The following is a 27835-nucleotide window of genomic DNA, read 5'->3' on the forward strand; positions in this document are numbered from 1 at the left end:
GGAGTGTCTTCTGTTGCCCAGCCCTGGCCTCCTGTTACTTTCCACACACTCTTCTGAAATCTCAAGCTTGGGTGGGAAAGCAAAGGTGTCATTTATTCACTCCCTAAAACTTCCACACTTAGTCAATAATTGGTCCTCAATAAATAGTTGTTGAGTCATTAAAGAACTTTTCCATTGTACAGATTCTCCCCATCCCATGTTATTTGGCTTGGTCCAGGAGAGGACCCATTGGAATTGCAGACTCAAAAGCCAAGTGGCAAGTGATAGGCTAGTATGGGGTCTCTGGTAGAGGGAACAAGTCAGTCAGCTTGTGTGCCAGATTTCTTGCACAGAACCTTGTCCCAGAAGTCAGGGTGTCTAGCACAGCACAGGTGAGGTGAAGTTAGGGCAGAACTTTCCCTACAGACTACACCACTTTTGAGCTAAAATTGAAAATGGAAAATTTCCGGTAACTGATCACTAAAATCTCTCTTGGTGTTTATTAGTTGCTCCTTGGAAGAGAGGAGTGGATTAGACATGTTTTATCCATAATAAAACAGAGTTCTGAAAGGTGGCAATTGAAAGGGTAGAAGTGGTCACAGAGGTGTTCTCTGCTGGTAAAATCTGCTGGCTGGATTAGGACGGGAGTGGTGTAGTCTTCTTTCTAGTTGTCTTTTTTCTTCCATTTTCCTATCCCAAGAAGTCCAAAAAGCTGAAGCCATACAAGGGATTAAGGAGAGGGAGAGGAAAGTGGCCTATCCATACAAATCCAGAATTTGGAGAACGAGACCTATTAGAGATCACGGGTATTGATATAGTAAGCTAAATTAGCATCTCTTCTGCCCACTCAGGGATAGATAGGATGAGTTTAACACCTTTATTTCAAAATTGCTATCAAATGTATCAAACATGCATGTGAGGACTCTCAATATAAAGAACTGACTTGGTGGATCACGAGGTCAGGAGTTCAAGATCAGCCTGGCCAACATGGTGAAACCCTGTCTCTACTAAAAATACAAAAATTAGCTGGGCATGGTGATGGGCACCTTTAATCTCAGCTACTCAGGAGGCTGAGGCAGGAGAATCACTTGAACCCGGGAGAGGAGGTTGCAGTGAGCCGAGATTGTGCCACTGCACTCCAGCCTTGGCAACAGGGTGAGAATCCATCTAAAAAAATATAAACAAATAAAAAATAAAAAAAACAAAGAGCTGACTTGATGTGGAGCCGTACTTAGTAGTAGGGGACGGTGACTCTATCTTGGTCTTTAAACTTTGAGGAATGCTGTAATTCCTAAATGACTCCCAATTTTGTTTCCTTCCTAAATTTGGAATAATCAACTCACTGTCTTCATTCCATGACACAGGATAGTTCTGCTTCTTTGGATTCTCAGCTCCCAAGGGATTTAAAATTCTCAGGATCCAATTTTGGGGTTAGTTACTACATGGTCTTTGTAGAAATATCAAGAGAGAGACTCATTGCTCAGGGATTATTTGATATTTCAATTTGATATATGTTTGCCCACTTGATAGAAAGGACTACCAGAAGAACAGGATATTTACCTGGTGCCAAAGTAAAACCTCGCACCTTGTTAACCAACTTCAAAGGCAAATGTACCAGGTCAGTGGAATTATCTGGCTGTCAGCATCATAATCAAACCAATCATTACTAACAGTGAGACAGGTCACTGTTGTGTATACCCACGATGCGATCTGAGATACCCAACATCACCTATGAAGATTTTTGCCAAAAATGTTGACTCTTAAGTCAAATGAGATCTCTCTAGATGTAACATCTAGAGGGGATAGACAAGTTAAATTACAACAAGAAGAAACTATCAGAAAAATCCAGAATGTGAGATAACTGGCATGGATGTTTAAAAAGTCAATGTTGGCTGGGTGTAGTGGCCCATGCCTATAATCCCAGCACTTTGGGAGGCCGAGGGGGTGGATCACCTGAGGTCAGGAGTTCGAGACCAGCCTGGCCAACATGGCAAAACCCAGTCTCTACTAAAAATACAAAAATTAGCCTGGCATGGTGCCTTGTGCCTGTAATCCCAGTTACTTGGGAGGCTGAGGCAGGAGAATCGCTTGAACCCATGAGGCGGAGGTTGCAGTGAGCCAAGATCATGACACTGTACTCCAGCCTGGGCAACAGGGTGAGACTCTGTCTCAAAAAAAAAAAAAGAAAAGAAAAAAAAGTCAGTGTTTTTGGGGGAAAGGAGGAGGGGAGAGAAGTATTGTGGATTAAAAGAGACATACCCAAGTGTAATGCCTGAACCATGATTGGATCCTGTCTTGAACAAAAAAGGCTACAAAATACATTTTTGTAATAAATGGGGAAATTTTACCATTTATTATGGTCAGTATTAGATGATATTATGACTAGATAGTAGATGATATTATGAAATTATTGTTAATTTTCTTAGATGTGATACTAGTATTGTGGTTCACAGGAGAATGTCCTTACACTAGGGAGATGCAGGCTGATTTCACGATGTCTGCAACATATTTTCAAATGGTTCAATAGCAATAACAAAGACAAGTAAAATATACACATACATACAAATACGGCAATTACTAGATCTGGGTAGAGGATAAGAAGTTATTCATTGTACTATCTTTAAAATTTTTTCATGTATATGAAATTTTTCTAATAAAAAGTTGGAGGAGAAAAGTTGATAAAGCAAAACCCAAAAAGTGCAGTCAGGTAGCTGTGGTAACACTTCAGAAAGATAGCCCTTTCTTTTCCCAGCCTAATCAAATCTTGCCACACATTTGTGAATTTGTTTTTGCGTGAGATCTTATTTATAGTGGACCATAGGAAGGGCTTAGTACTGCCCAGACACCAGTGATTCTGAGACCCTTATTGTGTAAACACATTCATTCTATGGAGCCAAAGGAGCTCTCCTAATAGAGGCAGGAATAACAAGAACTAGTGTATGGCTCTGATTTGTGCGTAGCATGCTCTGTTGTTATATTTAAAGTACGACTGCTAAATTCATTATTTGGGAATTGTTACAAGATGTGGTTTCAAACCTTTAGAAAATAGTATGATATTATTACAAAGAATGCCTAAAACAACCTCCATTCTGCTTTCCAGCCTACTATGGCATATCTTTGTTTCAGCTTTCTGGCCTGGAAACCTCTTGGTTTGTGGAGACCCATGGAAGAGACTCAAAGTTGGCAGATACTTGAAACTGGCAGATGATCCCCTCAGCCAGGTCTAGGGCTTACCCTTTCAATTCAGGGTGTGGAATCTGCTTTTGGACACCTGGCATTTTCCTTAGCTGGGCCCAGAAAACTCATTCAGTTTGACTCTTTATGGGTTGCCCAGATGCTGACCCTAAGCCTATCCAGAAACCAGGAATGTTTTACTGTGGTAAAAGAATTCTGGTTAATAAGGAAACCTAGCTATTACTCAGCTGGAAAAAAGCCAGACGGCCCAATCCTGCTAAGAGTTAGCTGCATCACTCTCTGTGACACTTTTCTCTGAGTACATGGAATACATGCGTTAAGGAAACCCTTGCCTTGTGAAACTGCTATTTGTTTGCTTCAGACAAAAAAAACTTCGGTACTGCTTCCAAAGTCGGTACTGAAGGGCAGCAGGGAGAGGGGCTGCAGAGGAAAATGTCCTTTCAGAGCTTATTACCTCACAGGGGAGATGGACGCACACACATCTGCAGAGAAGCCATCAGGGACGCCCTCATCTTCAAATTGCCTGTGCCTTTAGTCCCACGCTCTGTCTTCCTTCCTGTCCACCCCTTTCTGAAGCCAACCATTTCCCTTGCGTCCTGACCCCACCCTGGCCTTGTTAAAGACTTGCTTCTTCAGGTGTCCTTCTCTCCTCCCTGCCTCATTTCTCTTTTTTTTGCGGGGGGTGGGGGTGGCTGGGGGAGACAGAGTCTCGCTGTGTCGCCCAGGCTGGAGTGCAGTGGCTCAATCCTGACTCACTGCAACCTCCGCCTCCCGGGTTCAAGCGACTCTCCTGCCTCAGCCTCCCGAGTAGCTGGGACTACAGGCGCCCGCCGCGAAGCCCGGCTAATTTCTTTTGTATTTTAGCAGAGACGGGGTTTCACCGTGTTGCCCAGTCTGGTCTCGAACTCCCGAGTTTAGGCAATCCGCCCACCTCGGCCTCCCAAAGTGCTGGGGTTACAGGCGTGAGCAACCGCACCCGGCCCCTGCCTCATCTCTTATCTCTGCGGCACCATTCTCAGTAGCCACCGGGGTCTAATGACATCTCGTCTTTAAAAGTAACAGGCCGGGTGCGGCGGCTCACGCCTGCAATTCCAACACGTTCCTGCAGTCTCAGCTACTCCGAGGCCGGGGCAGGGGGAGGGCTGTGGGGGTTGTGGGGGAAGAACGGCTTGAGCCCGGGAGTTCAAGACTGCGATGAGCTATGATTGCGCCACTGCACTCCAGTCTGGGCAACGGAGTGAGATCCCGTCTCTAAAAAAACAAACAAAAAAAAGATAAAGAAAAAAATAAGTGTACACCTCACCCCCCAGATTCAGTCGTCTTCTTTCCCTTCCAGCCGTGGTCGCGTTCTCTGCTGCTCCTCCAGCAAAGTGACTGTCATCATCTAACCGCCGAGCAGTTTCCATCCCCGCTCCTCCTCCGAGGCTGCTGTTGTCCATGTTTCCAGGGACCTTGAAGTTGTTGGCTTCCATGGGAGCGTCTTTGTATTTCTCATGCTTGGCAGGATTCAGTCAGTTCCCCACTCTCCTCCTTCTTGAAACAATTTCTTCTCATATTGCCTGACAGCAGGCTCTTCTGGTTTCCTCTCCACCTTAAGAGATGCTGCCTCTCACTCTCCTTTGTTCTTCCTTCTCCATTTGACTTCTAGATGTCAGGGGCCCCATCTGATGTCCGTCTACATACTCTCCTGGCTGACCTCATCCAATCCCATAGCTTTCGATACCTCCATATCCTGATGACTTCCAATCAGTGTCTCCAGCCCTGACATCTCCCTGGAATTCCAGATTTATAGAACCAACCACCTACTTGATTAATCAACTGATAGATTTATTTAATTAAAACATTTATTATTTTTTGAGACAGGGTCTCGCTCTCTCGCCCAGGCTGGAGTGCAGTGGCATGATCATGGCTCACTGCAGCCTCAACTTCCCAGGCTCAAGGGATCCTTCCACCTCAGCCTCCTGCGTGGCTGCACCACCACGCCTGGCTAGTTTTTTGTGTTTTTTGTAGCGACAGGGTTTCGCCATGTTGCCCAGATTGGTCTCAAACACCTGGGCTCAAGTGATCCCCCTTCCTCAGCCTCCCAAAGTGCTGGGATTACAGGCAAGAGCCGCCACAGCTGGTTGATAGATTTATTAATTCCATGAATATTTATCGATTACCTATAAATGCCAGATACTATTCTAGGTTTGGAGGATACTTACATCAGTTAAAGACAGATAGCAATCACTACCCTGGAAATAATGAACATCATAAATAAGTAAATCAGACACTATGTTAGAGGCTGGTAAGTACATAGAGAAAAATTAAGCAGGGGAGACAGATAGTGAGTGCCAGGAGGAGAGGGTACTACAGTTTTAAAGAGGATGGAGACAGACTGTCCTACTGAGAAGGTGACACTTCAGCAAAGACTTGGAGGAGGTGAAGGAGTGGCCCGTGTGGCTCATTTAAGGAAATAACAGTGGAGGCAGAAGGTACAGTAAGTTTCAAGTCGCTGTGGCAGGTATGGCTTTGTGTGTTCAAGAAACAGCAAGGAAGTGAGTAGAGTGAGGGAAGAGTCGCAGGACAGAGGATCAGAGAAGAAACGGAGGGTACAGGTGCGGATCCCATGGAGCATGGTCAGCCATAGGAAGGACTTTGGTTTTTATACCAACTGAGATGGAGATCTGCCAACAGTTTTAAGCAGAGGAGTGACATAATTTGTCTAACTTTGTAAAAGCTCTCTTTGCCTGCTTTGTTGAGAATAGCCTCTAAGGGACAAAGGAAGAAGAGCTGGGAGGCTATTTTAGCCGTTTCAATGATGATAGTGTCTTGGCCCCACGTAGTAGCAGTGAAGATATATAACAAAAAGCTTCAGATCGTGGATATGTTTTGAAGGTAGAGCCAATAATATTTGCTGACAGAATGGATATGGGATGTGAAAAAAAGAGTGAAGGAGGACACAAGTATCTCTGGCCTGAGCAATTGGAAAGATGAAGTTGCTACCAGTTAGGACAAAGAAGACAGTGGGTTGAACATGGTTTTGAGTAAGGTTGCTGGGTTTAACAACAAAAAATCAGGAAGTCCAGTTAAATTTGAATTTCAGCAAAACAACAGACACTTTAGTATAAGTACATCCCATGCACTATTGCTTATACTTATTATGTGCTGTTATTCTAAATTTACTGGGCATCCTTTATTTTATCTGGCAATCCTAATTTGAGAGGAAAGTTTGAGTTGTGTGTTAGAGATGTTGAGAAGGCAGTTGGATATATAGGACTGGATATCAAGGTATAAGTCTGGCCTGGAGATTAAAATTTGGGAGAGAATAATAATATTTAGGTAGCCTATAAAGCTATGAGATTAGAAGAAATCCCCAAAGGAGTGAGAATGGATAGATGACTGGCCCAGGAAAGGAGCTGGGGCCCTCCAATGTGAAGAGATTGAGAGGATGAGGAAGGAGCAGCAGAGAAGAGGGAGGAGAAGGAGCTAGTATAGTAGGAGAGAAATCAGTATGTCTACTCTGACAGAGATCCTGAGGGAAGCAGCAATTGGTACCTACAACTCCTGACTTCTCCACACGCCCCCTCTCAAATTCTGCTTCCCCCCCTATACTATCTCAATTCGGGATAGAACTGCATCTGTCCAGGAACAAAGACCAGAGAGACAGGAATTATTTTTAATTCTCTTTCCATCACTCTTGTCTGTGTTCAATCCAATAGCAACTTCGGTCTCCTCTCCTTTCAAGACATGCTCTGAATTCATCCAGTTCTCTTCATCTCCACCACTACTACCACAGCTCAGCCCTCATCATCTTTCAGCTCAGCTCCTACAAAGCCTCTGATTCCCTTACAGTCATTCTCAACATGGCAGTCTGAACCATTTAAATATGTTATATGTATGTGTTTGTGCATATATACACACATATATGATATACATTATTTTTTTTTTTCGAGACGGAGTCTCGCTCTGTCGCCCAGGCTGGAGTGCAGTGGCGCGATATTGGCTTACTGTAAGCTCTGCCTCCCGGGTTCACGTCATTCTCCTGCCTCAGCATCTCGAGTAGCTGGGACTACAGGTGCCCGCCTCCAGGCCTGGCTAATTTTTTGTATTTTTAGTAGAGATGGGGTTTCACCGTGTTAACCAGGCTGGTCTCGAGCTCCTGACCTTGTGATCCACCCGCCTTGGCCTCCCAAAGTGCTGGGATTACAGGAGTGAGCCATATCCAAGCCCGACCAATATAAATATTTTTAATATACATATACATACAGTGGACCCTCGAACAACACAGGGCTAGGGATGCCAGCCCCCACACAGTTGAAAATCCACATATAACTTTTGAATCCTCAAAAATTTAACTACTAGGCCTGACGTGGTGGCTCACACCTGTAATCCCAACACTTTGGGAGGCCAAGGCAGGAGGATTGCTTGAGTTCAGGAGTTCAAGACCACCCTGGGCAACATAGTGAGACCTCATCTCTGCTTAAAAAAACAATAAAAAAAAAAAATAAAAAAAATAGCTGGATGTAGTGCCACATGACTGTAGTCTTGGCTACTTGGGAGGCTGAGGTGGGAGGATTGCTTGAGCCCAGGTGGTCGAGGCTGTAATGAACTATGATCATGCCACTGTCCTCCAGCCTGGGTGACAGAGTGAGACCCTGTCTCAAAAAAAACCCCAAACACCCCAAACTTAACTACGAATAGCCTACTGTTGACCAAAAGATTTACCAATAACTTAAACAGTTGATTAACACATATTTTGTATATATATTATGCACCATATTTGCATAATAAATTATAGAAAAGAAAATATTTTAAAAATCATAATGAAGAGAAAATATATTTACTATTCATTAAGTGGAAGTGGATCATCATAACGGTCTTCATCCTCGTCAGCTTCATGTTGAGTAGGCTGAGGAGGAGGATGAAGAGGAGGGGTTGGTCTTATTGTCCCAGGAGTGGCAGAGGTGGGAGAAAATCTGCATATAAATGGACCTGCATAGTTTGAACCTTTGTTGTTCAAGGCTCAGCTGCTTGTATGTGTGTGTGTGTGTGTGTTTGCGTGTGTGTGTGTGTGTGTGTGTGTGTGTGTGTGTGTTGAGGTAAACCCTCTGCTTCAAATCTTGCAATAGCATTTCACTGTCAGTGTCAGTACAATGAAGCTGAAACTCATTACCATGGTCCCTGTTACCTCTGACTTTTCCCTGTAACCCTCTCCCACTCACCCCCTAGGATTTGACCACAGTGTCTTGATTATGCAGGGATAACCAAAGGCGTCTATTTTAATAGTCCCAGCAAAGAAAGGGGGCATGACCTGGAGCAATGGGGGTACATAAATATCAGAGAAAGCTCAGAAAGAGACACAACAAATAGGTATTCCTGGCTTTCTACCTTATTCTTTATGAGTCTCGATTTTAAATCACAGATAATGACGAATTATCTGAAAAGGCTTAAAGGAAAACCCGAGTCTGGGTTTGTTGTGTTGTGAAGAAAAAAGCTTTATTGGCTCGTGGTTCTGCAGGCTGTCAAGAAGCAGGCACCAGCATCTGCTTCTGGTGAGGGCCTCAGGAAGCTTCCACTCATGGCAGAGGGCAAAGAGGAGCGGCATCACGTGGCAAGAGAGGATGGAAGAGAGACAGCTAGAGAGAGTGGAGGGAGGTGCCAGGCTCTTTTTAATAATCAGCTCTTCTGGGGTCTAATAGAGGGAGAGCTCATTCATTACCATGAGAACAGCACCAAGCCATCCATGAGGGATCCACTCCCATGACCCAAACATCTCCCACCAGGCCCCACCTCCGACACTGAAACCACACTTTAACAGGAGACTTGGTGGGCCTAACAAACCATATCCAAACTATAGCAACCAGGTTGTGACTGTTGTCTTTCAGAAATGAAGAATTGGGGGCCGGGTACAGTGGCTCATACTTGTAATCCCAGCACTTTGGGAGGCAAAGGTGGTGGATCACTTGAGGTCAGGAGCTCAGGACCAGCCTGGCCAACATGGCGTAACCCTGTCTCTACTAAAAATACAAAAATTAGCCGAGCATGGTGGTGTGTACCTGTAGTTCCAGGTACTCGGGAGGCTGAGGCGGGAGGATCACTTGAACCTGGGAGGTGGAGGTTGCAGTGAGCCAAGATCATGCCACTGCACTCCAGCCTGGGTGACAGAGCGAGACTCCATCTCAAAAAAAAAAAAAAAAAATTGAAGAACTGGCTTTCTGTTGATTATTCTAAATGGTGGCAGTTGCTTATTGAAAACCACAAATTCTGAACAGCCATGTTGTGAGCTCTTCATTTGTTTGTAGACACAGAAATTTTAGAAAGAAAATGTAGATGTTGGATACAAAATATTGAAGGAAAGCAGCAATCAGGCCGCAATCTGCTTTTTCCCACCTGCCTGTAGATCTTCTCAGGTTATTGCTATTTAGCTTTCATGAGAAATTACCTGGGCAATACTAGGTATTATTCAGTCAGTGTCCACACAGGCGTTTGTGATCACAAGGAAAAAATGGCAAAAATGAATTTTGCTTTTGAGACAGGGTCTTGCTACGTTGCCCAGGCTGGCCTTGAACTCCTGTGCTCAAGCTGTCCTTCTGCCTCAGCCTTCTGAGTAGCTGGGAATATAGGCATGTGCCACCATGCCCGGCTCAAAAATGCATCTTAAATAATTTTAAAAGATTGCCCTTTAGGGTTTGTCCAAAAGGATACACGAGAAACCAGAATCAATGCCTGCCTCTAGGGAAGGAAACTAAGGGACTGGAGGTCAAGAGTAGGAAGAGGATTTACTTTTACTGTATATCTTTTCATGTATTTTGAATTTTATATTGTGCTTTTGTACTACCTACTTATAAAAAAAATTGACTGGGTGTGGTGGGAGGCTGAGGCACTTGGGAGGCTGAGGTGGGAGGATGGTTTGAAGCCAGGAGTTTGGAACCAGCCTGGGCACATAGTGAGACCCTGTCTCTACAAAAAATTTAAAAAAAAATTAGATAGGCGTGATGACGCTCGCCTGCCTGTGGTCCCAGCTACTCCGGAGGCCGAGGTGGGTGGATCACTTGAGCAGGAGTTTGAGGTTGCAGTAAGCTATGAGTGTGCCACTGCACTCCAGCCTGGGCGTGACAGAGTGAGACCTTATCTCTAAAAAGAAAAAGAGATTAATTTTTATAAAATGACAGCTTAAGAAGGCCAGAAACAAATCTTATTTGTTTATGTTTTCTGGAATTACATATGTACATTTAAAAAATTTTTCCCAGCTATTTGGGAGGCTGAGGCAGGAGAATCACTTGAACCCGGGAGGCAGAGGTTGCAGTGAGTCGAGCTCATGCCACTGCATTCCAGCCTGGGTGTGACAGAGTGAGACCTTATCTCTACAAAGCAAAAAGAAACTAATTTTTATAAAATGACAGCTTAAGAAGGCCGGAAACATCAAATCTTATTTGTTTATGTTTTCTGGAATCACATATGCACATTTAAAAAATTTTCCCCAGCTACTCGGGAGGCTGAGGCAGGAGAGTCACTTGAACCCAGGAGGCGGAGGTTGCAGTGAGTCGAGCTCATGCCACTGCACTCCAGCCTAGTCAACAGAGCAAGACTCTGTCTCAAAAAAAAAAAAAAAATATATATATATATATATATATATTTTTTTTTTTTTCCAAAATGGGAAAATGGTTTGCAGATTGTAGAATTATGTGCGTGGCCCTGGGCATAGCACTGGGAGCCTGGGACTGAGGGCAGTGATGCCTGACCTTGGAGCTATCCAGACCTGGGCAGGTCCTGCTGCTACCGTGCATTCTACTGCTCTCAGCTGTCAAACATGGGACCACACGGGGTGATCTCTGTGGCCCCCTGCAGCTCAGATACTCCATGAATGTCTTCGCCCATGCGTTTCACAAAGTGGAAAAGTATCTTTTGACCTATGAGAGGAGCTGCTTCAATCGGTGTTGCTCATGAAATTTCATCTCAAAGCCTGGCTGAGGGCTTGATTTCAGAGCTGAGCCCACTGAGCCCCACCAGCTTTTCACACCTGCGAGGTTGGTGGATTTCTTGATCAGTTGAGACTCGCACGGCTGCCGCTTGCTTGTGATCTACACGCCTCCACTTGCCAACCCACATGGGTTGAATCTGAATCTGAATATTAATTCCACCCTCGGGAGCCAACACATACGGAAAATATTAATGCTTCCTTCAAATGGAACTTTTTTCCCTTTAGAAACAGATTTTTAAAGGAGATTCTAGGTACTGTGCTACCAAAAGAAAAAAAGTCATATTTCCAAATGTGCATCGCGTCATTGTACTGTAAAGAAAAAAATAGTGTTTACTTCAGGGAAGAATGAAAACCAAGTCAAGCTTTTTCCGTCAACGCTACAATTGTTAGCTTTAACAAACAGAGCGTGCTATCTCCTTGAAACAAACCCAAGAACATCAGTGTCCATGGGACCCACGTGTTGTTTCATCCCTGCCGAGTCTGCTGGGCTGAAACACAAGCCTGGGTTCTTCACCTCTGACCCTTACGAGCCTTCCAGTGCATTAATTTCAAGTGTGGAACCTGGGCCAACGCTGCTAAGGCCATATCTAGTTAAAAATGTAAACACAAAGTCTCTGAGACCAGGAGGGCACGTTCTCATGGTAACTGCGGGCTGCCTTTCTTTTCTCTCTGAAGTCCTTAACTGCTTAACTGATGTGCAATGGACGTGAGGGAGTCTCCTTAAGGGAGGGTCTTTCCAGAGGCCTTTGAAGGCATTTACATTTAGAAATATTATGCCTATCAAACCATATCTAATATTTCTGTCTCTTGTTGCCCGAAGTCTAACAGTCTAACAAATGTAGTCCATATAGTTAGGCAATGCTGGTTCCTATGTTCCTTTCCCTTTTGCTGTGTGGGGCTGGTTTGTCCTGATCTAGACTCTTAGGTATGAAGGAAAAGAGTGAAGAGGATTTACTCTAGCACTGATGAGGCTAATTGGGATAAAGCTCAGAATACCTCAATTAAGGGGCTCTTCAAGAGGCCGGATTTGTTGCAGACAGCTTCAAGAATGTGGAATTCAGCCTTCTGCATTCCCCTTGCACAGCCCCCGAGCGCCAGAAGGAGAATCCACTGGCTCCTCAGGGAGGGTGGCCATGCAGAGAGCAGCTCAGGGCTGTGTTTGCTCCTGTCAAAGCCACAGACCTGGCTTGCTGGCTTATAAGGGATTGGGGGCAGCCAGAACAAGGGTGTTTGAGAAAGGAATATTCAAGAGGAAAAATCTATTCATACAAAAACCCACACGTTGTGCACATGTACCCTAAAACTTAAAGTATAATAAAAAAAAATTTTTTTAAAGAATACAAACACTCAGAGTATGGCAGGTGCTTTCCTGTCGCCCTTGGCAAGAACCCGTTGGGGGCCATGAAGAGTTTGGGGTCCTGAATGACCCTCTCCCCCCACTGTTCTCCAATTCCTCTTCTTGTGAAAAACAAATTGATAAGTAAAACAGCAGCTCTTTCCAACCCAGGCGCCTCCATGCTCTGTGAAAGGGACTCCAGAAATATGAGTTTTGGGACGGCACTTTTCTGTTTCTTTTTACATGTCATCGTGGAAGTCCCTTTCACCTCCCAGGCTGAGGCACAGGTCCATTTTCCCACAGATCTGATTCTTATGCTAGGGTAGGGAGCAAAGCCTTGTCTTGTGTATTGAAAGTTATCTTGCTGCTGTGCTGAATTCACTGATGGTGTGCACAGCATGAGCTATCAATTATACACTAATTATATGACTGACTTCATTATCTCCCTTCTGAAAATATGCAGTCTGTCCCAAACAATTAGCACTGAATTATTTCCCTATATTGTTTCCTAATTTTTCCATATGTTGGTTTTCACTCTTCAGCCAGACTACACACCTCCGGAAGGCAGAGACGGGGACTTGAAGTTCTTTGAACTCAAAACATGGCAATATTTATTGGTCCTAATACTGTCACTGGCAAGGTTGGTGTTTTAGGGAAGAGATGATAGTGTAAGTATCAACTAATCTGAATTCTTTGGGTGAAGGCTGAGCAAAACTGAAATAGTTTTAAGAAGAAAAAAAACAAAACTGCAGGATGTTTAGTTAATTTGTTCATCATTCAAGTTCCCAGAGAACAGGGATCACGTCTGTCTCTTGCAGTGTTACATCCCCAGCACTCAGCCCACAGTTTCACAAGCAACAAACACTAACAATTATTTTTAATGAATGAGTTAATGAATACATTTCTTGAGCTTCTGTTATGTCTAGGTCTTGCGCTAAGTGAAGATACAAAGATAGTCTTCTCTCTTCAGAAGCTTTCAGTCTGGGGAAGAAGAAGAAAGGCAGAATTGAAAACAATTGCTATAAAATATGAAAGATGCAACTCTGGGTGCAGTGGCACATGCCCGTAATCCCAGCACTTTGGGAGGCCGAGGCAGGCGGATCCCCTGAGGTCAGGAGTTTGAGACCAGCCTGGTCAACATGGTGAAACCCTGTCTCTGCTAAAAGTAGAAAAATTAGCCAGGTGTGGTGGCGGGCACCTGTAGTCCCAGCTACTTGAAGGGCTGAGGCAGGAGAATCGCTTGAACCTGGGAGGTGGAGGTTACAGTGAGCTGAGATTGCGCCATTGCACTCCAGTCTGCGCAACAAGAGCAAAACTCCATCTCAAAAAAAAAATAATAATAAAATAAAATAAGAAAAATGCTGTCTGAATTCCATTCAAAGTGCTTTGGATTCAGAGGAGGAAGCTGCTGACCATTTAGGGGAGTCAGAGAAACTTCATGTTTAAAAACACAGGCACAAAAACATTGGATGGATTTTGAAGGAAGACTAAGCATTTGCCAGCTGGAAAATGTGAAGACATTCTAGGCAGAGGGAACCGCTGGGGCCAGGTCAGACAGCTGTGAAAGGCTGCATTTTCTGGGAACCCTACAGCTGTCCCGAAGGCTAACAAGGTGTTTTGAGGCAGGTGGATGAAATAAGACAAGTAAGTTGGGGCATGTTTGCAAGGGTTTTAGGATTGACACTTGAGACAATGGGGAGCTGTGAAAGTTTTTAGCAGGGAATTGATGTGAATAGATTTGGATTTGGAGAAATCACTGTGGACAGCGTAGTGAGGAGACTGGAATGGGAGAAACTGGAGTCGTCCACCTCAGGGTGATCGTGGCACCTTGGATTAGAGGCCGTGGGATGGGGGATGGAGGGAAGTGGACTAATTTGAGAGCTATTCAGAAAGTAGAGTCATTGGAAGACCAAGTGGCTAGTCGGACGTGGGGAAGTGGGAGGTAGGAAGACAGGAGTCCAGAATAATTTCTAGTTTCTAGAGTAAATTAATCAAGAACCCAGAATAAGCAGCAGGACTGGTGTGATGGGGAAAAGAAGTTTTCAGTTTTGACTGCAATGAAAACCTCTTTTGCAAAAGCAGCGTCCTCTCTGTTTGTGCTGACTTGGGATATGCTGTTCTCGTTCAGACTGCAGGGGAATTCCCCACTTTGTGGGGAGGGAAGAGAGATTTCCCTGATGAGGTCAGGCTAGGACATGAGTCGCATGGGGCAGCCATTTTGGAAGGAAGACATTTGTCCACGTGGAAGCTGTAATTCAAAATGTGGACTTCAGCAAGAGGAAACACCTAGCTCTCTCTTGAATCCGGGTTTCAAGAAGCACTCACCAGATAGCTGCACATCAGACTGCAGGTAGATTGCAGCCTGTAAGACTCAGAGGAGGACATATTTTATAAGCCAAATAATGTAGTTATATTGTATCATGTGCTTTTTTTGTTTTTCTTAGTCTTGAGCAGAGAATTATAAAAATACTCTAGTCCTACTGTTAACTGTGCTATTATGTCTTCGAGAACATAAAATGAATAGTATAATTCTTCCTTCCTTCAAGCCAGTGAGAAATAATAACAATTAGGGGAGATCTCTGCAGCACATATGAATTTGGGACAAAGGCTCTCTTGTAGAGATTCTCCCCCCATCGCCAGCATTAAAAGATGAGGCTTTATTTTGTTAAGGTAGGCATTTATGTTCTTAAACAGATATGTTATTTGAGATGCCTCGGCTACATCATTCAGAATGTCTACTAGCAAATACCATCTCCTGCCTGCCCTCAACTAAAAAGAAATAAAACATCTACATCATTTAACTTATCTTGCCCCAGTTCTAAATACTGACAAGCTTGTAGTAAATGGATTGTCAAATGGGTCTCCAGCCACCCCACCCAGCTAATTTTTTAACTTTTTGTAGAAAGGGAGTCTCCCTATGTTGCCCAGGTTGGTCTCAAACTCCTGGCCTCAAGTGATCTTCCCGCCTCAGCCTCCCAAGTGCCTCAGCCTCCCACTGTGCCCGGCCAGTTTTTTATGAGTAGGTAGTACAAAAGCACAATAAAATATTCAATACACATAAAAGGAGCTGGGCTTGGTTGCTCACGCCTGTAATCCCAGCACTTTGGGAGGCCAAGGCAGGCAGATTGCTTAAGGTCAAGAGTTTGAGATCAGCCTGGCCAACATGGTGAAACCCCGTCTCTGCTAAAAATACAAAAATTAGCCGGGCGTGGTGGTGGACGCCTGTAATCCCAGCTGCTTGGGACGCTGAGATGTGAGAATCGCTTGAACCTGGGAGGCAGAGTTGCAGTGAGCCGAGATTGTGTCACTGCACTCCAGCCAGGGCAACAGAGCGAGACTCTGTCTAAAAATAAATAAATAAGTAAATAAATAATAAAATAATATGCAATAAAAATAAATCCCCTTCCAACTCTTTTTTTTTTTTTTTTCTTAAGATGGAGTCTCACTCTGTCACTCAGGCTGGAGTGCAGTGGCGCCATCTCAGCTCACTGCAACCTCTGCCTCCTGGGTTCAAGTGATTCTCCTGCTTCAGCCTACTGAGTAACTGGGATTACAGGCACATGCCACCACTCCTGGCTAATGGTTGTTTTTTTTTTTTTCGTAGAGACAGGGTTTCCCCATGTTGACCAGGCTGGTTTTGAACTCTTGACCTCAAGTGATCTGGCCTCCCAAAGTGCTGGGATTACAGGTGTGAGCCACTGCGGCTGGCCCCCGTTCCAACTCTTGACCTCTTGTCCCTGGGTTCGTTTCCCTAGAGGCAGGCATTGATTCTAGTTTCTTGGGTATCCTTTTGGACAAACTGTAAGGGTGTTCTTAGTCTGTTGAGAGAACCCTTATCTAACAATGCTAACCCCATCCCAACATACTATCCTTTTTCTTTTTTTTTTTTTTTTTGAGGTGGAGTTTCACTCTTGTTGCCCAGGCTGGAGTGCAATAGTGTGATCTCAGCTCACTGCAACCTCCGCCTCCCGGGTTCAAGTGGCTCTCCTGCCTCAGCCTCCCGAGTAGCTGGGATTACAGGTGCCTGCCACCATCACGCCTGGCTAATTTTTTGTATTTTGAGTAGAGATGGGGTTTCACCATGTTGGCCAGACTGGTCTCGAACTCCTGACTTCAGGCAATCCACCCGCCTTGGCCTTCCAAAGTGCTGGGATTACAGACGTGAGCCACAGTTCCTGGTCTGTCTATGCTTTTTCTAAAAAATATTTTCAATTGTGATAAAATACACATAACATAAAAATTACTATCTTTGTATGTGTGTGTGAAACTGGGTCTCACTCTGTCACTCAGGCTAGAGTACAGTGGTGAGATCATGGCTCACTTCAACCTCCGCTTCCAGGGCTCCAGCAATCCTCCCACCTCAGCCTCCCAAGTAACTGGGCCCACAGGCATGCGCCACCATGCTCGGCCAATTTTTAAATTTTTTGTAGAGATTAGATCTAACTCTGTTGCCCAGGGTGATCTTGAACTCCTGGCCTCAAGACATCCTCCTGCCTTGGCCTCCCAAAGTGCTCGGGTTACAGGTGTGAGCCACTGCGCCCAGCTACCTTACCTGTTTTTAAGCGTACAGTTCAATGGTATTCACTACATTCATATTGCTGTGTAACCATCACCACCATTCATCTCCAGAGCTCTTGTCATCTTACAAAACTAGACCTTTGTACACACTAAACAATAACTCCCCATTCTCTCATCCTCCAGCCCCTAGCAACCACGAATCTCCTTTCCTCTCTGTGAATTTGACTACTCTATGTACTTCATATAAGTGGACTTGCACAGTGTGTCGCTTTTTGTAACTAGCTTATTTCACTGGCATAATGTCCTGAAGGTTGATCCGTGTTGCAGCATGTGGCAGAATTTCCTTCTTTTTAAGGATGAATACTATTCCATTGTGTGTACAGAGCACATATTGTTTATTCATTCACCTGTTGATGGATGCTTGGTTTGCTTCCACCTTTTGGCTATTGTGAACAATGCTCCATGAACATGAGTGCACATGTCTATTTTTTGCTGTAATTTTTAAATATAGCATTTGTCATGCAGGATATATGTTATGTCTGATATATGTATTGTTTGCTACCTCTCCCTCCCAACTAGAATCTAACTTTTTGAGTTCAGGAATTTTGTTTTGTTCACAGGTGTATCCTCAAAACTCAGAGCAGAGTCTGGCATATGGTAGGTGCTCAATAAATATTTTGCTGAATGAATGGATAGTGGACTAATAGTCATGATTCCACCAGAGTTTCTGCACTGAGGTCTATTCTATTGCCGACCATATTGCTAGGTGGAGGAAAGCTTTTTTTTGAGAGAGAGGGTCTTGCTCTGTCACCCAGGCTGGAGGGCAGTGGCGCAATCTTGGCTCACTGTAGCCTTGACCTCCCAGGCTCAAGCAGTCCTTCCACCTCAGCCTTCCAAGTAACTGGAACTACAGGCACATGCCACCACACCCAGCTATTTTTTGTAGAGACAGGGTTTCACCATGTTGTCCAGGCTGATCTCAAACTCCTAAGCTCAAGCGGAACGCCTGGGCCAAGCGATCTGCCCACCTCAGCCTCTCAGAGTGCTTGGATTACAGTCATGAGCCACTGCGTCCAGCCTCTGGAGGAAAGCTTTTGAACAAAGTTTTCAGTTAATTGTCTTTCACTTTCCTAATCTCTAAAGTGGTCATCAGTCTTTTTTTTTTTCTTTTTAAAAAGTTAAGCAATTTATTTATAAAAGACAAATAAATATTATATATATTTATGGTACACAAGTCACATTTTGCTATCCACATACATTGTGAAATGATTAAATCAAGCTAGTTTGCATATCCATCACCAGACATGCTTATTCTTTTCTTGCAGTGAGAACATTTAAGATCTATTCTCTTAGCAATTTTCAAGTATGAAATACATTATGAGTAATCACAGTCACCACGTTGTTCAATAGATGTCCAGAACTTATTCATCCTAACTGATATTTTGTACCCTGTCACCAACATCTCTCCATCTCCTCCCCTTACCTCCAGCCCCTGGTAACCACTGTTCTACTCTCTACTTCTATGAGTTCAATTTCTTTAGATTCCACATGTAAGTGAGATCATGCAGTATTTGTGTTCCTGTGCCTGGCTTATTTCACTTAGCATAATGTTCTCCATGTTCATTCATATTGTCACAAATGACAGGATATCCTTCTTTTTTGGCTGAATAGTATTCCATTGTGCATATACACCAAATTTTCTTTATCCATTCATCTGTCAATGGACACATAGGTTGATTCAATATCTTAGCCATTGTGAAAATGCTGCAATGTACGTGAGAATGTAGATTTCTGATTTCATTTCCTTTGGATATATACACAGTAGTGGGATTGCTAGATCATATCGTAGTTCTATTTTTAGTTTTTTGAGGAACCTCCATACTGTTTTCCATATGGCTATACTAATTTGCATTCCCACCTACGGTGTAGAAGGCTTCCCCTTTCTCCACACTCTTGCCAACACTTATCTTTCATCTTTTTTCCATCCTAAATGTGTGAGATCATATCTCATAGTGGTTTTAATTGGCATTTCCCTGATGATTATGAAACCAACCCAATAGTCCCATAGATAATTTTATGGATAAACATAGAAATTGACCATTCTGGTCTTAAAATCAGAACCTTACATTTGTTTTATCTGAGTTCCTTCCTCTGAAAACCACTTTCAGACCTGTCGAAAAAAAATAGCGAAGAACACCAGATCACCACATCCAGACAATGAGATGTGGGACCCTCATTCATCATGATTACTCCCTCGCCCCTCTCTAGTTTCTGTTTTCTTACACATTGTTACATTTCTTCCCTGCTATATAAACCTCTAGTTTTAGCCGGTCAGGGAGAAGGATATGAGACTGAGCTCCCATCTCCTTGACTGCAGCACCAGATTAAAGCTTCTTCCTCAGCAATACTCATTGTCTCAGTGATTGGCTTTCTGTGCAGTGAGCAGCAGGGCCCAGTCCAAACCCCTGGTGTTTTGGTAACAATTAATGATGCTGACCATCTTTCCATACACCTGTTAGCTATTTCTATGTCTTTTTGGAGAAATGTCTATTTGGGTCCTTTGCCTATCTTTAAAATGAGGTTACTTGGGTTTTTTTTTTTGTTTTTTTTTTTTTTGCTATCGAGTTGAGTTTCCCATATATTTTGGGGAACTTATCAGATGCATGGTTTGAAAATATTTTCTCCCACTCCACATGCTTTTTCATTTTGTTGATTGTGCAGAGGTTTTTAGTCAGATGGAATCCTTAAAATGGGTGTCAGTCTTGCTTTCAGCAATATTTGTGAACATCCCTATGTGACAGGTAGCTCTGCCTCAGTCGGCCGGCCCAGTCACTGTATTTTCTAGCAGAACTCTGGCCAGCTCACTGGAAGGAAAAGCGGACTCCTTGAGTGTGGCTTCCGGGGTTTCCTTGCTCGTTTACTTGTTCTAAAATGTGACAGCTTAGTTTCTTCAGTTACATTCATTTTAAATTAAAAATAAATTTCCCTTGAACTATGATTCAATGATGTATTTTCTCAAATTATTATCCTAAATCATAATTAAATGAAACTATAATCATACCAAAATCGAGTTATATCGTTTCCACATTTAAGTGAGAATTTATGTGTAAACTTCCTGTAAAAAGTTCACATCAATTTTACTCAAAACTATGAGTCATGTTGTTCATTCTGAATGTTATTTTTATGCATTTTCATGAGTTTATTATAATGGCTCATTTACAGAAGGCCTTGAAAGGGACTCAAGTGAAGTATGACTTCTTCAATTTGCTTATTTGTACTATTTCATATTTGTCTCCCCGAGTAGGTAGGTTTATTAGAACTAGAGAGTCTGGAACTGGAAATTCTCATCAAAATGTGTACGCAGGGAGCAGTGAAGAGAGGATTCCCTTTTGTAAGAAATTTTACCCTCCTTAACCTTCTTGATTTGAGTATTAAGAGTTAAAATATCTTCCTATTTTCTGATAGACAAGCTTCTAATATGCACATTATATTTATGCTCTGGGTGGGTGTATCATAAAGACCACACATATTTCTTTTCATAGAACTATAAACTGGTAATTTCTGAAAATCATAAAGAAAGACAATCTTTATGATTTTCAGGGCCGGGCATGGTGGCTCATGCCTGTAATTCCAGCACTTGGGAGGCTGAGGCAGGGGAATCACTTGAGCTCAGGGTTTGAGACCAGCCTGGGCAACATAGCAAGACCTCGTCTCTGAAAAGAAAAAAAAAAAGGCAATTTAAATGTTATTATATATTGAAGGAACACTTCAATATATAAGAAGTATAATGCTTTGGTGTTGATGATTGGAAAGCAAAAGTACTGCCTCTCTGCACTCTACCCCTGGCTGTCTGATCCCTAACCCCAGGTCAGAGCTCCTCTCAGGGTGGTTCTCCCTCACCACTGGCTCCTTTCTGTTCTGGCAAATGCTCTTCTCCTTGTCTGGTTCACCCAGAGGTGGGGCTGCGGTATCTCTTGCAGTTTCTCTATACCTTAGCCACACTTCTGTAAATAGCCTCTTTATTAACTCACATCAACATATCCTTATCTGAGCATGCCCTCTTTTCTCCTGTTGGGTCTCTGTTTGACACACAAGGTTTAACCAAAGGAAATGATTTCTGTAAATGAGAAAATATTTTATTAAACATTGCAAAATATGCAGACTTTCTTTGAAACATTAGGCAATACAGTAACAAAAAGATGGAAAACAAGAGAAAGAAAGGGTGGAGCTGGGGAAGAGAAGTAAAGAAAGAGGGGAAAACAGCCAGGCGTGGTGGCTCATGCCTGTAATCCCAGCACTTTGGAAGGGCTAGGTGGGTGGATCTCCTGAGGTCAGGAGTTTGAGACCAGCCTGGCCAACATGGTGAAACCTTATCTCTACTGAAAACACACAAAAAATTAGCGAGGCGTGCTGGCACACAACTGTAATCCCAGCTACTCGGGAAGCTGAGGCATGAGAACTGCTTGAACTTGGGAGGCAGAGGTTACAGTGAGCCAAGATCATGCCATTGCACTCCAGCCTGGGTGACAGAGTGAGACCAAAAAAAAAAAAAAAAAGGAAAGAAAGAAAGAGAGAGAAAGGAAGGAAGGAAGGAGGGAAAAGAAAGAAAGAAAGACAGAAGGAAGGAAAGAAAAGAAAAGAAAGAAAAAGGAAGGAAGGAAGGAAGGGAGAGAGAAGGTAAATGAATACAAGAAGCCTTGGCTTTTTCAGTGCAGGAGGGACTCTGAAGTCCTAAAGCAATTGATGGGGGTGAAGGTCGTCAGATACAGAAGACATCATGACGCCAGCTCCCGTCCACTGAATGCTCTCTGTAGCCTAAATTCTCGCCTCAGCTTATACCTGTGCTGCTGTATTAGGTAGCACAAGCCCAGGGGGCAGGAGAGAGCTCAGGGAGCGCAGCGGGGAAGGTAGGGCAACCATGAGGAAGGTGAGTTACCAATCTGGCCACTACCTTGGGGTCAAACTTGATCATAGGAACCATCTTCTAAGACAATCACTTTTTGGGACACCATTTAGGGGAGGAAGGGGGAAGAATTGATCTCTGGAGTTTGTGCCTGTGTGAAGTTGGTAGGAGTCCATGCAGAGCTGATGGCTACAGTGATGGTCTGGCCTGAGGCCCCAGATCAAGAGAGGCCAAGAGACCTGAGGAGGGATCCGCCATAGTGCCATCATACATGAACACGAATCCTCACAGTAACCCTCTGAATTAGCCAGGTGTGATGGTGAACACCTGTGGTCTCAGCAACTCAGGAGGCTGAGGCAGGAGAATGGCTTGAGCCCAGGAATTTGAGGCTGCACTGAGCCATAACTGTGCCACTGCTCTCCAGCCTGGGCAACAGAGTGAGACCCTGTCTCTAAAAAAATTAACTATAATAATAGTAACCCTCTGAGCAGGCATAGGACTCTGGGTACGAGTAATACAGACTCACTTGGGAAGGGAAAGGCCGTTTCTTGGCACACTGACCAGACCTCAGAAAGCGCAAGGGTGTGGCAGACCTCAGGGCTCACTGGAACCGAATGCTTGAAGGGCAGCAACGCCCCGCGCCTCCCTGAATTCTCTCAGAATGGTTTCCCCTTGATTGGGAACCAGGATCCCTGGCAGCCCTGGGTCCTGCCACCAGAAACTGGAAAAGAAAGGGTTTCTCCTTCTCTTAGTCTGAAGGCATCCCAGGGAAGAGCCCTGACCTCACTCTTGGTCAGGTGACCCCTCCTTGGACCACTCAGTGTAGCTGGGGGGCCGCCCTGTGCTTGGCCACTCCTGGGCTGAGTCTGCCCTGCAGCGGAGGGTCGGCCGGGTCACTCAGAGCTCACCAGAGTCTGAGTTGTTCAACGTCACTAGTAAGGTCAGAGGGGGTCGTTCCATTCATCTCCACTCCCAGAAATAAGAGGAGCCCACACACCAGGCAGGAGAACAGCAGCTGCGGCAGGCCCTCCAATAAGGACGTCATGCTGAAGAGAGGAAAACGCTTCCCTCAGGCCCCGTCGGTGGGGGCTGCCTGTTCTCACTGCCGCGGGGCTTTTCTCCCAGGGTTCTGGGTTCCTCCCGTGTCCCAAAGCTGGGCCCATTCGTTTAACTGGCATGTCTCCATGGTCTCAGCATGGGTGAGGGTGTGTGGTTGAATGTGGGTGAGCGTGGGTGAAAGTGAGTGTTGGCGAGTGTGAGAATGAGTGTGAGAGAGTGTGGGTGAGTGCGAGGATGAGTGTGAGTGTGGGTGAGTGAGGATGAGTGTGAGTGTGGGTGAGTGTGAGAGTGTGAGGATGAGTGTGAGAGTGTGAGGATGAGTGTGAGTGTGAGGATGAGTGTGAGTGTGAGGATGAGTGTGAGTGTGAGGATGAGTGTGAGTGTGGGTGTGAGGATGACTGTGAGAGTGGGTGAGAGGATGAGTGTGAGTGTGGATGAGTGTGAGGATGAGTGAGAGTGAGGATGAGTGTGAGTGTGGGTGAGTGTGAGGATGAGTGTGAGTGTGGGTGAGTGTGAGGATGAGTGTGAGTGTGGGTGTGAGGATGAGTGTGAGTGTGTGTGGTGTGAGGATGAGTGTGGGTGAGAGGATGAGTGTGTGTGGGTGAGTGCGAGGATGAGTGTGAGAGTGGGGGTGAGTGTGAGGATGAGTGTGAGTGTGGGTGTGAGGATGAGTGTGAGTGTGGTGTGAGGATGAGTGTGAGTGTGTGTGGTGTGAGGATGAGTGTGGGTGAGAGGATGAGTGTGTGTGGGTGAGTGTGAGGATGAGTGTGAGAGTGGGGGTGAGTGTGAGGATGAGTGTGAGTGTGGGTGAGTGTGAGGATGAGTGTGAGTGTGGGTGTGAGGATGAGTGTGAGTGTGGTGTGAGGATGAGTGTGAGTGTGTGTGGTGTGAGGATGAGTGGGTGAGAGGATGAGTGTGTGTGGGTGAGTGTGAGGATGAGTGTGAGAGTGGGGGTGAGTGTGAGGATGAGTGTGAGTGTGGGTGAGTGTGAGGATGAGTGTGAGTGTGGGTGAGTGTGAGGATGAGTGTGAGTGTGGGTGTGAGGATGAGTGTGAGAAAGTGGGTGAGCGTGGGTGAAAGCGAGTGTGAGTGTGGGTGAGCATGAGAAAGTGTGGGTGAGTGTAGGTGAGGGTGAGTGGGTGACAGTATGAGTGAGGGTAAGTGTGGGTGACTGGGTGAGGGTGGGTGTGGGTATGAGGGTAAGCATGGGTGAGGGTGTGTGGGTGGGTGAGGGCGAGGATCTGGGTGTGTGGGTGAGTGTGCATGAGTGTGGGTGTGGGTGAGTGTGTGGGTGAGTGTGGGTGAGAGTGAGGGTGAGTGTGAGGGTGAGGGTGTGGGTGAGGGTGAGTGTGGGTGAGTGAGGGTGTGGGTGTATGGGTGAGGGTGTTAGGGTGAGTGTGGGGGTGAGTGTGGGTGAGGGTGAGTGAGGATGTGGGTGTGGGTGAATGTGAGTGTGGGTGTGGGTGAGTCTGAATGTGGGTGTGGGTGTGAGTGGGTGAGGGTGAGTGTGAGGATGAGTGTGGGTGAGGGTGAGTGAGAGTGGGTGAGGTGTGGGTGAGGGTTGTGAGGGTGTGAGGGTAAGGGTGTGAGTGCGGGTGAGTGAGGGTAAGTGTGGATGGGGAGGGTGTGTGAGTGGGTGTGGGTGAGTGTGAGTACAGGTTAGGGTAAGTGTGGATGGGGGAGGGTGAGCGTGAGTGGGTGTGGGTGAGTGTGGGTGAGTGTGAGTGCAGGTGAGGGTGTGTGGATGGGGGAGGGTAAGCGTGAGTGGGTGTGTGTGTGGGTGGGTGAGTGTGAGTGAGTGCAGGTGAGTGAGGGTAAGTGTGGATGGGGAGGGTGAGCGTGAGTGGGTGTGTGTGTGGGGGGGTGAGTGTGGGTGAGTGTGAGTGAGTGCAGGTGAGGGTAAGTGTGGGTGAATGTGGGTCACCCTGCGATGGGAGGGCATCCTGACCGGAGCGGGTCCCACCTGGCATCCTGAACTGCTGGGATGCCCCTATTTCCCCCCACTTCCTTTTCCCACCACCCGGACCTGAAATAAGGGGATACTTCTTACTTGTTTTGATTAGTTCTTCTTAAATATTTGTATGGCTCACATTTATTACAATGTGTAACATGAGAAGTGTTTTGGCCTTTATTTAGAACTTTGATGATATTTTTGTGATGGGAAATTATGCCCTAGGAACTTAACTCTGGTTTATATCAATTAACCTATGGGAAAATAGGTTTTGTTATCTGTCGTTTTGCTTAAAGTTGCAGTTTCCAAGAACCTATTGATGGTGTTAAGTGAGGATTTACCGTATTGTGTTTACACATGTAGCCAAAGTCAACCCTTTCTACCTCGCCCAGAAGTATATTACAGGGAACACATTTTGCACTATTTTGTCTTCATCACTCACATATAAGCAATTGCCAACTCTTGTCCATTTCTGTTTCTTAAGTGTCTCTTGAGCCCTCCCTCTTCCTCTGCTCATTGCCACACCACAGTACCCGCCCGCACCCTGTCAGTTGGCTGTTTGCAATCACCAGCTGGTCTCCTTGCCTCTCTCACCTTGTCCACCTTATGCTGTCACCAGAGTTATCATTGTAAAACAAATCTGATTGAACCATTCTGTTCAGAGGTCTCTGGTGGCCCACTCTTTCTTCTGTATTTAATATCAACTCTGTGAAACTTCCCCAGAAAGGAAGAATGAAAGAATTTGACTTTTCCTGAAAGAACCTCTCTAGTACTTTGTAGTAAAAATACTCTTCTGTTTATATAAACTCTCTTAGGGTGGCTGGGCTTGGCAGCTCACACCTGTAATCCCAGCACGTTGAGGGTCTGAGGAGGGAGGATCATTTGAGGCCAGGAGTTCGAGACCAACCTGGGCAACATAGCGAGACCTCGTTTCTACAAAAAGTTTTAAAATTATCTGGGTGTGGTGGTGAGAGGCTATATGTCCCCAGCTACCTGGGAGGCTGAGGTGGAAGGATTGCCTGAGCCCAGAAGCTGCAGGCTGCAGGCTGCAGTGAGCTATGATCATGCCACGGCACCCCAGCCTGAGGGATAGCGTGAGATCTTATCTCAGAAAAAAAAAAAAAAAAAAAGAAAACAAAACCCCCACAACACTCTTAGGGTATTTATCATATTTGATTGTATGTTTTTGTTTGTCTGTGTTAGTTTCCTCCACCAAATAGACACTTATTCGAATGAGCAGAAACACTTTCTTAGTTATTATTGTATCCATAGCACTTGTCATGCCCTGGTAATAGACATTCAATAACTGCCAAATAAATAATTAACATTTAGCTTTTTCTTTTATTCCCTGGTGTCTGGAGTAGGGGAAGAAGAAAAAAGGGGAAAAACAACAGAAAGAGAAATAGGAGAGAAAAAAATCCAAAATTACATTTAATCCCCGTCTCTTGTATCAAATCAATTTTGGAATGAAGTGAGGATATAAACAAGTCAGTCAACAAAATCATGACATTTCATATTAGTAACACGCAGTCTTATCTCCAGACCATAATCTGCCCTGATGTTTGTAGTTTGTCTCTTGGTTCCAAAACGCAATGTTATTGAAATGAGGCTGTGGATAATACCGCCGTTGGAAAAGGCATGAGGGTCAATGCAAAAATGCAGTGACGGAAGTAGTACATTGTGTGTGTCAACAGTCATTCAAATTACAGCTGTCCTTGGCATCCTCAGGGGACTGGTCCCAGGACCCTCGAGAATACCAAAATCCTTGGATGCTCATGCCCTGATATAAAATGGCGTGGTATTTGCATATAACCTATGCACATTGTTTCCTATACTTCTTAAATTTTATTTTTTATTTTTTGAGACCAAGTCCCACTGTAGCCCAGGCTGGAGTGCAATGTCGCGATCTCAGCTCACTGCAAGCTCTGCCTCCCGGGCTCAAGCGCTTCTCTTACCTCAGCCTCCCGAGTAGCTGGGACTACAGGCGCACGCCATAACACCCGGCTAATTTTTGTGTTTTAGTAGAGATGGTTTTCACCATGTTGGCCAGGCTGGTCTCAAACTCCTGACCTCAGGTGATACACCCACCTTAGCCTCCCAAAGTGTTGGGATTACAGGCATGAGCCACCGTGCCTGGCCCTTTTCTAGAAATCATCTCTAGATTACTTATAATACCTAATACAATGTAAATGCTATGTAAATAGTTGTTATACTATATTGGTTTTTAAATTTGTATTATTTTTTATTTTTTTAATTGTTCTTTTTCCAAATATTTTTGATCTGTGGCTAGTTGAATCTGAAGATGAGGACCTCAAGAATACAGAGGGCTGACTGCACTGACAAAACTCAGTGGAAACCTCTGGAAGATTTGATGGTAGATGGTTTTATCATCTGCAGCTGTTCACTCCTCCACTGTGTCAGAGAGGATTAGACATCCCTGTTCATTGCAGGTGACCTCACATCACCCCCATAAACGGGGGCAGGTTGTGCTTCCACACCTTGTTGTCAGCCCGGGCCAATGGAATCTGAGCAGATGTGACTTACACCAGGATGAGCAGAAGCTTCAATGTGATTGCCTGCTGTGATGGCCAATTTTAGGTGTCAACTTGACTGGGCTAAGGGATGCCCAGATAGCTGGTAAAACATGCTTGCAGGGTGTTTCCAGAGGAGGTGAGCCTTTGAATTGGTAGCTTTAGTAAAGAAAATCTACCCTCATTATTGTGAGTGGGCATCATTCAATCTGTTGAGAGCTCAAATCGAATAACAAAAAAAGAAGAAATGGTGAATTTGTTCACTCTGCTTGAGCCAGGAACTCCATCTTCTCCTGTCCTTGGATATCAGAACTCTTGAGTCTCAGGCTTTCGGAATCAGACAGGGATTTATATCACCAGTCCCCTCCAACCTCCCTTCTCAGACCCTTGGACTTGGACT

General features: G+C 44.8%; 1 long non-coding RNA gene across 1 annotated transcript, besides 2 other annotated features; it reads left to right on the forward strand.

The window, feature by feature from the left end:
- Positions 7865 to 8431: an enhancer, noted in NCBI's record as "OCT4-NANOG hESC enhancer chr4:184458658-184459224 (GRCh37/hg19 assembly coordinates)". NCBI's record gives its function as "activates a minimal SCP1, AML or CMV promoter by ChIP-STARR-seq in naive H9 embryonic stem cells {active_cell/tissue: H9 hESC(naive)}" and the evidence as "EXISTENCE:reporter gene assay evidence [ECO:0000049][PMID:30033119]".
- Positions 11412 to 12207: an enhancer, noted in NCBI's record as "NANOG-H3K27ac-H3K4me1 hESC enhancer chr4:184462205-184463000 (GRCh37/hg19 assembly coordinates)". NCBI's record gives its function as "activates a minimal SCP1, AML or CMV promoter by ChIP-STARR-seq in primed H9 embryonic stem cells {active_cell/tissue: H9 hESC(primed)}" and the evidence as "EXISTENCE:reporter gene assay evidence [ECO:0000049][PMID:30033119]".
- On the forward strand, positions 13982 to 27274 carry LOC101929996 (uncharacterized). The gene is made up of 4 exons (XR_939540.3): positions 13982 to 14117; positions 14602 to 14823; positions 17612 to 17648; positions 27195 to 27274. It is a non-coding gene; the product is annotated as an uncharacterized LOC101929996 (long non-coding RNA).
- Positions 27275 to 27835: the final 561 nt, after the last annotated feature.

The sequence above is a fragment of the Homo sapiens genome, chromosome 4 (genome assembly GCF_000001405.40).
Source record: "Homo sapiens chromosome 4, GRCh38.p14 Primary Assembly".
In the NCBI taxonomy this organism is placed as follows: Eukaryota; Metazoa; Chordata; class Mammalia; order Primates; family Hominidae; genus Homo; species Homo sapiens.